At 42.7% G+C, this 15,536-nt stretch overlaps 1 protein-coding gene across 15 annotated transcripts in view, besides 1 other annotated feature; it reads left to right on the top strand.

The window, feature by feature from the left end:
- The window catches only part of CALN1 (calneuron 1), a 724,789-nt gene that overhangs the window by 447,142 nt on the left and 262,111 nt on the right, over nt 1–15,536 (top strand). The gene's annotated exons all lie outside the window — the stretch shown is intronic.
- Nucleotides 7,950–8,119: an enhancer, noted in NCBI's record as "experimental_99965 CRE fragment used in MPRA reporter constructs". NCBI's record gives its function as "activates a minimal promoter by MPRAs in K562 erythroleukemia cells, with activity observed for the non-introgressed 7:71514089 variant allele {active_cell/tissue: K562}" and the evidence as "EXISTENCE:reporter gene assay evidence [ECO:0000049][PMID:34662402]".

Here is a 15,536-nt window from a genome sequence, read left to right as displayed (position 1 = left end):
CCATCTCTACAAACTTTTTTTTTTTAAAAAACAGGTGGGCTTGGTGGCATGTGCTTGTAATCCTAGCTACTGGGGAGGCTGAGGCAGGAGGGGCACTTGAGGCCAGAAATTGGAGGCTGTAATGATCTATGATCATGCCGCTGCACTCCGGCCTAAGCAACAGAGTGAGACCTTGTTTTTAAAACAAACAAAACAACAACAACAACAAAAATGAAATAACATTGCATACTGGGGATGTGGAAAATGCTAGCTCACTATTGCTTTAATTTGCATTTATTTTCATATTATTGAAGTTGAACATTTTCTACATGTTTAATATTTGTGTTTGTCTTTTGTGGATTATCTGTTTTTATCTTTTAGTATTCATCTTTTAATGAATTTCTTCGTATTTGAAGAATGCTATTCTTTTGCCATATTCATTGCATAGAGTTTTCCTAGATTATTGCTAAATATTTAATTTAGTCCCTGATGTTTTTAACATGCAGAGTATGTTAGCAAGTCTGTGAATCTCTATTTTTTTGTTATTCCTTTATTGATTTTAAGCTTAGATAGGATTTTCTTCATTTTACCTATATATTTCTCTAATTTTTTATCCTCTAATTCATGTTCTAGAGTAAAATGCCAAGTGAGGAATAAAATCGATTTTTCCTTTCAAGTTCTTTACCTGTCTTTTCAGCACCATTTGTTAACTAAGCCTCCTTTTTTCCATTCGATTTTTTATGTTTATTATCTTTATTTACTAGGGCTTATTTCTGAATTGCCCTGTTTTGTTTATCTCCTACTTAACCTTCATCAGTACTTTTTTATTGTGGTTTTATAATAGATTTTATTACTAGATATAGCATTACTGTCCTTAATTCCTTTTAGAGGTTTTCTTTCCTGCTCATTCTTCCAAATGACCAATTCACTGGGACATTTCCAAAAAAATTCCATAGGGATTTATCCTGAAATTGCATTAAACATATCCATTCATTTAAGAAGTATAAAATTGTTAGAGTAATCCTTCTACCAGGAAGCATGGTATTCTTTTATGTTTTCTTTTAAAGGCTTTAAAAATATATCACTAAAGTTGTATAGGTTTCTTCATATGGGTCCTAAATGTCTTTTATTTTTTAATTGAGACAGGATCTTGCTCTGTTGCCCCAGCTGGATTACAGTGGTGCGATCATAGCTCACTGCAGCCTCAGCTGCTGAGCTCAAGCAATCCTCCTGCCTCAGCCTCCTGAGTAGTTGGGACTATGGGTGTGTGCCACCAAGACTGGCTAATTTTTTTTATTTTTTTGTTATTTGTGGAAATGAGGTCTTGCTATGTTGCCTAGGCTGGTTTCAAACTTCTAGCCTCAAGCAATCCTCACTCCTCAGCCCCCCAGAGCGTTAGCATTACAGATGTGAGCCACTCAGCTTGGTGCTAAATGTCATAAACTAGTAATTTTTCAATAAAATTACTCATTTCACAAAAGTTTTAAAATGTATTTGCTTTCAGCTATATAAAGTACAGTATTTCATAATTTTTATCTCCTCTGTATTTGTTGCTACATAGTTTTTGTCTGTTGCAATTTTATTTGAATCTTTCTGGGTTAGATTTGTTAATTATTCATATGTTTTATAGTTTTCTCAAAGAATCCTCTTTTTTTTGCAACGATGATTACCATATCTATTTGTGTATTTCCCAGTTAACTAATTCTGCCTTTCCCCTAATTCTATCATTACCCCTATTACCATATTTATGTTTAACTTTTCTAAGTTTTAATTTCTTTGCTATTTATGTCTTTATTTGCATTGGGGTTACTTTTTCTATTATTTGTTTAATCAGCCTCTGTTAATCTTTACCAGCTTGGTTAAAATGATGGACTCTGGAGTTAGACTGCCAAATTCAGAACCCCCGCCTCACCCTGCCCCACCCAGCCCCAGGTCTGGCCCATGCAAATTGAGCATAAGCTCTTCTGATTTCCACTTCCTGATTTAGGACATGAAATAGTAATAATATCTACCTCGTTAGTGTGGTGTGAGGATTAAATGAGTTAACTCATGTACTATGATGCCTGGCAGATAAAAAATGCTCTGTGGATGTCAGCGATCATGAACAGCATTTCTCTTCCATCCGTTCTTTTGTTCTTTCTTTGGAATTCCTGTCCTCATCAGGTTAGACCTCAGGGATCTTAGTCTCCAGGTCTCTCAGCTTTTACCTCCCAGTCTCTAGCTCTGTGTGTTTTGTTTTGTTTTGTTTTGTTTTTATTTTAGTTTCCAGAGCACATGTGCAGGTTTGTTATAATAGGGAAACTCCTATCACAGGGGTTTGTCATACGGATTATTTTGTCACCCATGTACTAAGCCTAGTACCCAATAATTATTTGGGGTACTGTCCCTCCTTCACCTTCAAGTAGGCCCCAGTATCTGTTGTTCCCCTCTTCGCATCCATGTGTTCTCATCATTTAGCTCCCACTTCTAAGTAAGAACATGCAGTATTTGGTTTTCTATTCCTGCATTAGTTTGCTAAGGATAACAGCTTCCAGCTCCATTCATGTTCCTGCAAAAGACATGATCTCATTCTTTTTCATGGCTGCATAGTATTCCATTATATATATATATATATGTATATATATATGTATGTATATATGTATATATATGTATATATATGTATATATGTATATATATATGTATGTATATATGTATATATATGTATATATATGTATATATATATATACGTGTATATATACACGTATATATATATATATGTACATATATGCAGCCAACAAGCATACAGAAAAAGCTCAGTATCACTGACCATTAGAAAAATGTAAATCAAAACCACAATGAGATATCATCTTACACCAGTAAGAATGGCTACTATGAAAAAGTCAAAAATAACTACACTGCTGGTGGGAATGTAAACTAGTACAGCCGCTACGGAAAACAGTGTGGAGATTCCTTAAAGAACTAAATGTAGAACTACCATTCAATCCAGCAATCCCACTGCTGGGTATCTACCCAGAGGAAAAGAAGTCATTATACAAAAAAGGTACTTGCACATGCGTGTTTATAGCAGCACAATTCGCAATAGCAAAATCATGGCACCAACCCAAATGCCCATCAATCAATGAGTGGATAAAGAAATTGTGGTATATATCTATATATACGATGGAATACTACTCAGCCAAAAAAAGGAATGAATTAACAGCATTTGCAATGACCTGGATGAGATTAGAGACTATTATTCTAAGTGAAGTAACTCAGGAATGGAAGACTAAGCATCGTATGTTCTCACCGATACGTAAGAGCTAAGCTATGAGGACGCGATGGCATAAGAATGATACGATGGACTTTGGGGACCTGGGGGGAAGGGTGGGAGGGGGGTGAGGGATAAAAGACAACAAATATGGTGCAGTGTATACTGCTGGGTGATGGGTACACCATGTTCTCACAAATCTCTAAAAAGCTTACTCGTAATCAAATACCACCTGTACCCCAGTAACTTATGGAAAAATAAAATAAAAAAAATAGATAAACTTTGATAAAGATTGCGAAAGAAAACCAAAGTTGCTACATAGATCTTAAAAAAAAAATGACACATGCTGGTAAGGTTGGGGAGTAAAGGGAACACTCATATATGTTGGTGGGAGTGTAAATCAGTTCAGCCCTTGCGAAAGGCAGTGTGGCGATTCCTCAAAGAGCTAAAAACAGAACTGCCATTCAACCCAGCACTCCCATTACTGGGTATGTGCTCTGAGTTGTTGTTCTGTGCAGTGGTTCCAGGCTACTGTCTCAGTTCCTATCACCTACCAGCCGGTAATTTCAGAGTGTCTATGAATCTGCATATTTGAAAATCATGCTTTTTACTTTCTGGGAGTCTTTGGTGTACTCTGATTCCACTCTTTGGGAGCACATATTCCTTTGTTTGTTTGTTTTTTGAGACAGAGTCTCGCTCTGTCACCCAGGCTGGAGTGCAGTGGTGAGATCATGGCTCACTGCAAACTCCACCTCCTGGGCTCAAGCGATTCTCCTGCTTCAGCCTCCCGAGTAGCTGGGATTACAGGCTCCCGTCACCACGTCTGGCCAATTTTTGTATTTTTAGTAGAGACTGGGTTTCACCATATTGGCCAGGCTGGTCTTGAACTCCTGTCCTCAGGTGATCCTCCCTCCTTGGCCTCCCAAAGTGCTTGGATTACAGGCGTGAGCCACCGCACCTGGCCTTGGCCTCTCAAAGTGCTGGGATTACAGGCGTGAGCCACCACACCTGGCCTTGGCCTCCCAAAGTGCTGGCATTACAGGCGTGAGCCACCACACCTGGCCACCCTCTAAGTTCTTACCTAAGTCTTCTTTCTTTAGTTGTAGTCAGTGGGAACCAAGTGCTTCAAAGGCTCATTGAGTCACCCTGTCTCTGGTCACTGAGACGGGGTGAGTTGTCATTTCTGAGACTGAAGTGAGTTGTCATTTCTCTGCCTGGCTGTAGATTTCCATCCGCCTTCTCTGCCAAGTCAGGGCAAAGGCACACCAACAGGTTAGGGGAAGCCCGGTGGTTTTCATGTTCACCTGACCAGAAACAAGTGTGCCTCCTTCCTGAGGTCAAGGAGGAAGCCCCCTCTCTTTAGGGTACATCCCACCCAGGAGCAGGAGACACGGGCTATAGAGCAGATTTTCTTCGGGTGGTCAGTAGTCAGTGAGGTCAAGACCATCACCCCCAAGCCTGAATCCCCCCAGAGCCTGCTGGAGTAAACAGTTGTGGCCCTTTCTCGGGGAGCTTCCTGGGGAAGGGGCAGATCCTCCGTATCTTCTCTCTACCTTCCCTCCAGAGACCTGCCTTCCCTGGCCGGTGTCCACTCCGGAGGCGACTTGTCGGGACGGCAGATCAGGAGTTCTTGCTGTTATATATTCACAGCCCCTTAACTCCGCATTTACTCCATTTTCTAAATGGTTATTGCTGCCACACAAGGAAACGATTGATTTTTTAAATGTTTGTCCAGGACCCAGCCACTGTTAGTAAATTCCCAGAATTACGATGGAGTCATTTCTTTTTTTCTAGATAGACAATCATACCATCTCCTGAATAGTGATCATCTTGTCTCATGAATTCCTTTAGTCATCTTTCTCACTTGTATCTCAAGTCATAATATTGGCCAGAACACAGAAAACAACATTGAATAAAAATGATAACAAGCATCCTTGGGGCATTGCTTATGTTAATGGAAATTCCTCTGGTGTAGGAGAATATGCTTCTGCCTTGAGATAGATCACTCTTACTTTGTCGAGAAAGGATTATTCTTGTCCTTGTTCTAAAAAGTCCTGAAGGAATCTAGTATTTTCCCCAGCACTGTTTGCAGCTTCCATAGAGACCACCACACTTTTTATTGTGTCTATTGATTTGATTTCATACATGGATTGATTTTTCTAGTATTAAATTGTACTCAAGTTCTGGAATGATCTGTACTTGGCTGTGGTCAGCTATGTTTGGAGCATATTTTAAATTAGATTTTCCAGTTCCAGCTTTAGCGTTTTTGCATGTGAGATGTGTTGGTTGGTTTTCTTTTGTGTATTTTTGTATGAGAGTTATATTAGCTTTTCCACTTTTTCTTCATCCTGGAACAGTTAATATAACATGAGGAGTGTCTATTTCTCAACAACAGGAAAAAACTCAGATATAATTTTTCCTAATTTGAGAAGCTTTTCAGGTATTTTTTAAAAATAGGTTATCAGTTTTAGAAATCTGATTTTGTTGATTTTCTGCATTTTCTTAAATCTGTAATAATCTTTTTTAATAAAGTCAATAGTTTCACAAAAAATTTGAAATAGATTAGCTTTTGGTTATACAAAGTACAGTATTTCATAATTTTTATCTCTTCTGTATTTGTGGCTGCATAGCTTTTCTCAGTTGTAATTATATTTTCTTCTTTCTGGATTCGATTTGTCAATCATTCATATATTTTATAGTTTTCTCAAATAACTCTCTTTTTGATACAATGCATATCATATCTATTTGTGAATTTCCCAATTAACTAATTCTACCATCACCCTAATTATATCATTACCCCTATTACCTTTAAGTCTAACTTTTCTAAAGTTTTAAAAATGTTTTATTTTTTCCTTTCCAAATAACAAAATATTTATTTATTTATTTATTTATTTATTTATTTATTTATTTATTTATTGTGGTGGAGTCTTGCTCTGTCACCCAGGCTGGAATGCAGTAGTGGCACAACCGTGGCTCGCTGCAACCTCCACCTCCTGGGTTCATGCGATTCTCCTGTCTCAGCCTCCCAAGTAGCTGGGATTATACCATGCTTGGCTAATTTTTGTACTTTTGTAGTAGAAATGAGGTTTCACCATGTTAGCCCGGCTGGTCTCAAACTCCTGACCTCAAATGAACTTCCCACCTTGGCCTCCCAAAGTGCTGGGATTACAGGCGTGAGCCACCAAACCCAGCCCAAAATAATGAAATTATTTTAATGTTATGAATTACATCTGAAAACAAGTTTGATTAATACTTACATATTTGAGTTATGTAATTTTCTCACTGTCATTTTCTTTAAAAGATACTATCTTGCATTTGTATTCTTCATTGATCAGGAGAGTGTTTTCCATTTCGGAGTGATCTAGGGCTCTGCTTCAATGTTTACTATTAATATTAAATCCTAGTTTCTTTGGGTTTGAGTAGGAGAATGAGGTCTGCTTATTTCAGCTTTGAAAAATTAGTTGATTTTTTGCGATCTACCATATAATCCTGTTTTTATAAATGTTTCATGAATGTTTTAAGAGGTACAGCCTTTTTTTCCTACAGCATTCTGTATATTATCTGTTATTTTCTGTGTGTATGGTTAATAATCTAGTAATTGCAATTGTACTACTGAAATTTTCATCTTGAAAGACAACATGGCATAATGGAAAGAATGTTTTAGAGTGAAGGTAAATCAGGGTTCAAAACTGAATTTTATTACAATTAGTGGCATAATCTTACAGAGGTCACCTAATATCTGAACCTCCCTTATGCCTTATTAAAACAGGGACATCAATTAATACCTACCTTCGGCCGGGCGAGGGGCCTCACGCCTGAAACCCCAGCACTTTGGGAGGCCGAGGCAGGAGGATCATTTGTGGTCAGGAGTTCAAGACCAGCCTGACCAACATGGTGAAACCCCGTCTCCACTAAACATACAAAAAAAAAAAAGTATAGCCAGGAGTGGTAGTGTGAGCCCCTAGTCCCAGCTACTCACGAGCCTGAGGCAGGAGAATCACTCGAACTTGGGAGGCAGAGGTTGCAGTGAGCCGAGATTGCACCACTGCACTCTATCCTGGGTGACAGAGTGAGACTGCATCTCAAAAAAAAAAAAAAGAAATAGACTTGGCCCGGGTGCTCACACCTGTAATCCCAGCACTTTGGCAGACCGAGGCAGGTGGATCACCTGAGGTCAGGAGTTCGAGACCAGCCTGACCAGCGTGGTGAAACCCCATCCCTACTAAAAACACAAAAAATAGCCGGGCGTGGTGGCGCATGCCTGTAATCCCAGCTACTCAGGAGGCTGAGGCAGGAGAATCGCTTGAACCTGGGAGGCAGGGGTTGCAGTGAGCCAAGATGGTGCCACTGCACTCCAGACTGGGCAACAAGAGTGAAATTTCATCTCTAAATAAATAAATCCTACCTTATTGCTATCATAAGTAAAATAGCTTAACAATGTGCCTGCCCTATAGTTCATCACAGTGAGTGATGTTATTAATATTTGCTTATTTGATCTGCTAGTGATTGATAGCACATGAAAGTCTTCCCTTTCTTAGCTCCAAAAAAAATGTCTCATTACTATACCTTCTAGTATTCTCGGATCCTTTTGTCTTTCTCTCTTGTAAAGTTCAAGTCTCCAATTTCTGTGTTTCATGTATTATCTTTCTCTCATCATTTTACCTCTTTTTTATTTTCCCTGTCTAGACTAGGTTGGGGCTGTAGGTTATTGATGTGATTATCTGTGCTGTGGCTGTTGCTATTTATTATGCTTCTGGAATTGTTCTCCCCCCACCCACCAGGTAATATGATATCATATTTTCTGGCTGGGTGCGGTGGCTCACACCGATAATCCCAGCACTTTAGGAGGCCAAGGTGGGAGGATTGCTTGAACCTGGAAGTTCTAGAGCAGCCTGAGTAACATAGCAAGACCCTGTATCTACAAAAAAATAAAAGTAGCTGGGCATGGTGGTGTGCACCTGTAGTTCTAGCTACTTGGGAGGCTGAAGTGGGAGGATTGCTTGGGCCGAAAATGTTGAGGTGGCTGCAGAGAGCTATAATCATGGCACGGCACTGCACTCCAGCCTGGGCAACACAGTGAGACCCTGTCGAAAGAAAGAGAAGGAAGGAAGGAAAAAAGGAAGGAGGAAGGGAGGGAAAAAGGCAGGGAGGAAAGGAAGGAAGGAGGCAGAGAAGAAAGGAAGGAAAGAAGAGGGAAAAAGGAAAGAAGGGAGGAAGAAGGGGAGGCAGACAAGGAAGGAGGGAAGGGAGGGAGGAAAAGGAAGGAAATTATATTTTTCAGAAAGCACTTATATTTACCTCTATAAAATTAATATACTAATATGCTATTTTAAGTAACATAACAGAGGAGTATATGAAGTCTAAGTGTATAAGTAAAAAGTTCATATCATGCAGATTTCAACTTTTCCATTACACAATGGCTTCTCTTTCTGCCCTTCCCAGGTCCTGTGTCCTACCCCTTCCCTGTTATTTCTTTATCATGTCACATGCAGGTGCTGCTCTACTCACACATGGCGGCCCTTATAATGCATACCCAAAAAACAAATTGAAAAGGATGATTAAGAAGAGATATGGGCTGGGTGTGGTGGCTCACGCCTGTAATCCCAGCATTTTTGGAGGCCGAGGCGGGTGGATCACTTGAGCTCAAGAGTTCAAGTCCTGCCTGGCCAACAGGGTGAAACCTGGTCTCTACTAAAATACAAAAATTAGCCGGGTGCGATGGCATACACCTGTACTCCCAGCTACTTGGGAGGTTGAGGCAGGGGAATCGCTTGAACCTGGGAGGCGGAGGTTGCAGTGAGCCAAGATCATGCCACTGCACTCCAGCCTGGGTGACTGAGCAAGACTCTGTCTCAAAAAAAAAAAAAAAAGAAGAAGAAGAAGAAGCAATATGAATGAATGAAGCCTCTGAAATCTGTGCCCACACTGTGTTAGATGCTTATGAGCATCTCTTACTTTGCTCACATCATGGAGACCACTGTCCCAGACAATATCCAATTTCCCTGCATTTTCCTTCTGCAGCACTTTCCCGTTTTTAACACACACACCCTTGTGAGTCCTTGGTTGTCTCTGTTTGCAGCTGCACTCTTAATTTCCTAGAGGGCAGTGCCCACATGCCCCCTGTTCACTGCAGTATCCCCAAGGCCGAGCACGATGGCTGCCACGTCATGGGTTTGGGTAAATATTTATTGACATGAGTTAGAAGTTGCAGTTCCCTGCCAGCGCGTCCCAGGTAGGCTTTGACTTTGCTGGTGCATTGTCATTGTTCTTGTTTGTTCTCCTCACTGAAGCCAGGCTCATTTTCTTTTCTATTTTATCTTATTGAGACAAGGTTTTGCTCCGTTACTCTGACTGCGGTGCAGTGGTGTGATCATAGCTCAGTGCAGTCTCTAAGTCCTGGGCTCAAGCAATCCTCTTGCCTCAGCCTCCCAAGTAGCTGGGACTACAGGCACTCACCACCACACCCAGCTAATTTTTTATTTGTTTTGTAGAGATGGGGTCTTGCTATGTTGTCCAGGCTGGTCTCAAACTCCCAGCCTCTCACCTCGATCTCCCAAAGTGCTGAAATTACAGGTAGCCACGACTCTCAGCCTCCTTCCGTTCCTGTTTCAGCCTCTTGTCTTTTCATCTTCGTATGTCTATTTGTGGACAAATCTTCTTTGTGGAAGGCTTTCATTGGCCATATCTAACACAAAGCAGGTGTTTCTTAACCTTTCTTCTGTCTCTGATAGTGAATAATTTGGAGGAGTTAATTTTGTTTTTGTACATTAAAGGGCAGTGCTTCCCTTCTCTGCTGGATTAAACCTTACGTTTCCCCACTAGTTTTCATTTTTATTTATTTATTTTTTTGAGACAGTTTCACTCTGTTGTCCAGGCTAGAGTGTAGCAGCACAATCTTGGCTCACTGCAGCCTTGACTTCCCTGGGCTCAGGTGATTTTGCCACCTCAGCTTTCTGAGTACCTGTGACTATAGGCACGTGCCACCGTGCCCAGCTAATGTTTATATTTCTTGTAGAGACAGGGTTTTGCTAGATTTTTGTATTTCTTGTAGAGATAGGATTTTGCTAGGTTGCCCAGACTGGTCTCAGACTCCTGGGCTCATGCAATTCTCAGCCTCCCAGAGTGCTGGGATTATAGGTGTGAGCTACCGCACCTGGCCTTAGTTTTCAATCCTTTTTTTTTTTTTTTTTTTTTTTTTTTTTAAGAGGGAGTCTCGCTCTGTTGCCCAGGCTGGAGTACAATGGCGTGATCTCGGCTCACTGCAACCTCTGCCTCCTGGGTTCAAGTGATACTTCTGCCTCAGCCTCCTGAGTAGCTGAGATTACAGGCACCTGCCAACACCCAGCTAATTTTTGTATTTTTAGTAGAGACGGGGTTTCACCATGTTGGCCATGCTGGTCTCAAACTCCTGACCTCAGGTGATCCACCTGCCTCTGCCTCCCAAAGTGTTGGGATTACAGGCATGAGCCACCACACCCAGCCTCTCTACAAAAAAATTAAAAAATGAATTAGGCATGGTGGTGTGTGCCTGTAGTCTCAGCTACTCAGGAGGTTGAGGCAGGAGAATTGCCTTAGCCTCGGAATTGGAAGCTGCAGCTGCAGTGAGCTATGATTGTGCCACTGCACTCCGGCCTGGGCAAGAAAAAGAGACCTTGTCTCCAAAAAAAGAAGGAAACTGGAGCCTGAGGCTTCCACCTCAGCTTTCTGAGTACCTGTGACTGTCGGCATGTACCCCCATGCCCAGCTTATTTTTGTATTTCTTATAGAGACAGGGTTTTGCTGGGTTGCCCAGGCTGGTCTCAAACTCCTGGGCTCAAGCAATTCTCCTGCCTCAGCCTCCCAAAGTGCTGGGATTATAGGGGTGAGCTCCTGCACCTGGCCTTAGTTCTGAATCCTTTTTTTTTTTTTTTTTTTTGAGAGGGAGTCTCGCTGTTGCCCAGGCTGGAGTGCAATGGCACGATCTCAGCTCACTGCAACCTCTGCCTCCCAGGTTCGAGTGATTCTTCTGCCTTAGCCTCCCGAGTAGCAGGATTACAGGCAACTGCCACCACACCCAGCTAATTTTTGTATTTTTAGTAGAGACAGGGTTTCACCATGTTGGCCAGGCTGGTATCAAACTCCTGACCTCAGGTGATCCACCCACCTCTGCCTCCCAAAGTGTTGGGATTACAGGTGTGAGCCACCACACCTGGTCTCTCTACGAAAAAATTAAAAAATGAATCAGGCATGGTGTTGTGTGCCTGTAGTCCCAGCTACTTAGGAGGCTGAGGCAGGAGAATTGCCTTAGCCTTGGAATTGGAAGCTGCAGTCAGCTGTGATTGTGTCACTGCACTCCAGCCTGGGCAACAGAAAGAGACCCTGTCTCCAAAAAAAGAAAAGGAAGAAAACAGGAGAGCCTGTGGAGGGAGCTGCCTGTGGCTCTCACTCATTGCATTACTTGCAGGTGCTGAAACTTCTTCCCATGTAATATGCTGGGGTTGTTCCTGCAATTCAAGATCAAAACAGAGGCACCAGGAAGGGAGAGGAAATGGATAAAAGGGAAGGGGGACAAGATGCCAGACTTCCTAGTAATCCAAGCACACATAGTCAGGAGCTGGTTGTCTGGGTGCCTGGATTTTGCAGACCTGGGTCTCCCAGCTTGGAGCAGGCAGCACATGCTGTTCACGACTCTTCCTACCCTTTCCTGGCAGGTGCTTTCTAGTAGTGCCTGCAGAGACCACCAGCTTTATTTCTCCATCCGCTTCACTGGAGCCATGGTGAGTGTACGTTTCCCCAGATTCATTCAAATGGATGACTATCTTCAGCTTCTAGGACCGCTGTGACTTTGTGTCTTTTTCTAGTTGCATGGAGACTTCCGTGAGAAGTTGAGCAAAAACACATCAGAAATTGGTATCTCCTTGCCTCTTAATCCTGAAGTCAAGATTATTCTGCAGTCATTGCATCCATATTCTCAAAATGCCTAACATATTTCAGATCAGAAGTTTTAGGCTGTAGCTGGGTGCAGTGGCTCACGCCTCTAATCCCATTGCTTTGGGAGGCTGAGGTGGGAGGATTGCTTGAGGCCAGGAGGTGGAGATCGGCCTGGGGAACATAGTGAGACCCCATCTCTTCGAATAACTAAATAAATAAAAAATTAGCCAGGCATGGTGGCGCACCCCTGTAGTCCTGGCTACTCAGGAACCTGAAGCAGGAGGTTCACTTGAACCCAGGAGTTCGAGCCTGCAATGAGCTGTGATTGTATCACTGCATTCTAGCCTGGGTGACAGAGCAACACTCTGCCTCAAAAAAAAAAAAAAAAAAAAAAAAAAAAAAGTTTTAAGCGGAAATTATTCTCTGAAGGTTAAAAAATACCCTGCAACCGTCGGAGTAGATAGAAGGGGAGGTTTGATGCAATTGAGAGGCCTGTTTCTCTCTTGCCTGGATAATTTCTCTTCCATATGGATCCCTGAGAGAGGTGTGTGTATAGGAGAAGTTGGAATGGGAAATAAAGTCCCCCTTTGTATCTGCCTTGCTCATCCCCCATCTCCCCATGCAGAAAAGAAGACAGGGGTGAGGTGGCTTGGCCTACTATGAGGAGGCCGGCTCTGGATGAACCTACCACATAGATGAGAAACATGACCAGAAATGGGCTTCAGCTCTGAGCACAAACTTTGAGCACATCCTGAGAGCCAACCCAATCTGATTTGCTCCTCCTGTTCTGCTATTTGGAGGAGAGGGGAGAGAGGGGGCAATAGCAGCACTAGGAAGTGCAATCAGCCTACCCCAACTCTCATATTCAACCTGATGTGGTTTGGTTGTGTCCCCACCCAAATCTCATCTTGAATTCCCGCGTGTTGTGGGAGGGACCCGGTGGGAGGTAATTGAATCATGGTGGGGGTGGGGGGACTTTCCTATGCTGTTCTTGTAATAGTGAAGAAGTCTCACAAGATCTGATGGTTTTAAAAAGAGGTGTTCCTCTACACAAGCCCTCTCCTTTGCCTGCCAACATCCATGTAACTTGCTCCTCCTTTGCCTTCCGCCATGATTGTGAGGCCTCCCCAGCCATGTGGAACTGTAAGTCCAATTAAACTTCTTTCTTTTGTAAATTGCCCAGTCTCATGTGTGTCTTTATCAGCAGCATGAAAACGAACTAATACAACCCCTTTACCTCTTTTTTATTTGAGAGACAGGGTCTCACTCTGTTGTCTAGACCGGACAACTGCAGCCTGAAACTCCTGGGCTCAAGCGATCCTTCTGCCTCGACCTCCAGAGTGGCTGGGACCAAAGCATAGTGACATCATGCCTGGCCAAGTTTTTTTTATTTTTTGTAAAGATGAGGTCTGGCTATGTTGTCCAAGCTGGTTTCAAACTCCTGGCCTCAAGCAATCTTCCCAGCTCAGCCTCACAACTTATTGGGATTATAGGCATGAGCCACCATGCCTGGCTTGATTTTCTTACTCTGCTATGGTTAACTGATATTTTTCATTCTAATGTAAAGTGTGCATAAAAGCATTTTTTTCTATTTTTATTGTTCTGCATTATGTAATACATATACAAACTTTGTGCTTGTTGTTCTGCTCCCCTGGGAAATGGGCTTCCTGGGGGTTCTGGACTGCTGAAGGCAATGAACCTCTCTGGGTTGTCCAGACCTTTGTTTTACTTTGACCAGCTGTGTGAGGATAAGGTAGTTCAGGAACTAGGAGAGCCTGCTGAATGTAAAATTCCATGAACAGAAGCAAGAGAATGACGAGACTGTGCTAGTTCTTTCAGAATAACAGCAGCACCCTTGCACTGCACAGAGTTAAACATCCCAGATCTGGAAGGACCCTACCTTGTGTCACCAGCAGCTGCAAGATCTATATTAGGGCCTCTGAACCACGAGAAGCCATGCATCTATTCCTGCTCTAGGTCGAAATGTTTATTTCTATAAATTTTTGTGGCCTTGGCTGAATGACTCAGGAACTGAGAGTGAGAGTGGGGGTGTGTGCAGAAGTGTTGGCCTAGCAAGATATCCTTAGGATGGCACATTTGCAAGGTTGGCCCTTAGCTGGTTTCTGGAGAATTGGAGTTTTGGAGGGGTCCCACCATTCCTAAAACTTTTAAGAGTGGTTCATCAAGGCCAAACTGTTTGTTCAAACAATATGGTTTATGCTAAGCACCCTTTTTCCTTTTGGGAGTCTTATTTATTTATTTTTAAGTGGTAAAGTCTCACTCTGGTGCCCAGGCTGGAGTGCAGTGACACAATCAGAGTTCACTGCAGCCTCAATCTGTTGGCCTCAAGCAATCCTGCAGCCTCAGCCTCCCAAAGTGCTGGGGTTATACGTACGTGTGATCCACTGCTCCTGCCCCTGTTTGAGAGTCTTGAATTTGAGTACATGCCAGGCAGAGAGTGCCTGCATGACCAGCTCCCAATGAAAACCTTGGACATTCATTCTCAAATGAACTTTCCTGGTGAGCAGCATTTCACATCTATTGCCGCTACTCGTTGTTAGGGGAGTGAAGCATGTCCTGTGGATGCCACTGGGAGAGGATTCTGAAATCTTGAGCCTGGTTTCCTCTAGATTTTGCCCCACACTCTGGATCCTTCAGAAGATTGTGTGTTGTATTCTTTCTCCATGGTAAATCATAGCTACACATACAACTGTATGCTCAGTCTTGGGAGGACTTGTACCAAACTATTGAACATGGTAATGGGTCTTGGGGGTTCCTCCAACACATGGCCCACCCACCTAACGTGGGTTAGGTGGGTTACACTGGACAATTTAACCTTAATTTCTCCAATGCATAACCCATCTGAAAGCCTTCAGTCCCCTTCAAACCAAGTTGCTACTGCTAAGTCCCTTTTATAAAAATTCTGGTGCTGCTGTCAGGACAAGAACATGGTTTTTGCCACCTTGCTACTCTGTATTAGTTTGTTCTCATGCTGCTAATAAAGACATACCCGAGAGACTAGGTAATTTATAAAGGAAATAGCTTTAATGGACTCATAGTTCCACATGGCTGGGGAGGCCTCACAATCACGGCAGAAGGCAAGGAGGAGCAAAGCCACGTCTTACATGGTGGCAGGCAAAGAAGGAGAGGCCATGTGCAGGGGAACTCCCCTTTATCGGATCATCAGATCTCATGAGACTTATTCACTGTTTTGAGAACAGCACGAGAAAGACCCACCCCCATGATCCAATTACCTCCCACTGGGTCCCTCCCATGACACGTGGGAATTACGGGAGCTACAATTCAAGATGAGATTTGCGCCAGGTGTGGTGGCTCACACCTGTAATCCCAGCACTTTGGGAGGCTGAGGTGGGCAGATCACCTGAGGTCAGGAGTTTGA

Source organism: Homo sapiens, chromosome 7 (genome assembly GCF_000001405.40).
Source record: "Homo sapiens chromosome 7, GRCh38.p14 Primary Assembly".
In the NCBI taxonomy this organism is placed as follows: domain Eukaryota; kingdom Metazoa; phylum Chordata; class Mammalia; order Primates; family Hominidae; genus Homo; species Homo sapiens.
This window is presented reverse-complemented; position numbering and strand designations above follow the sequence as displayed.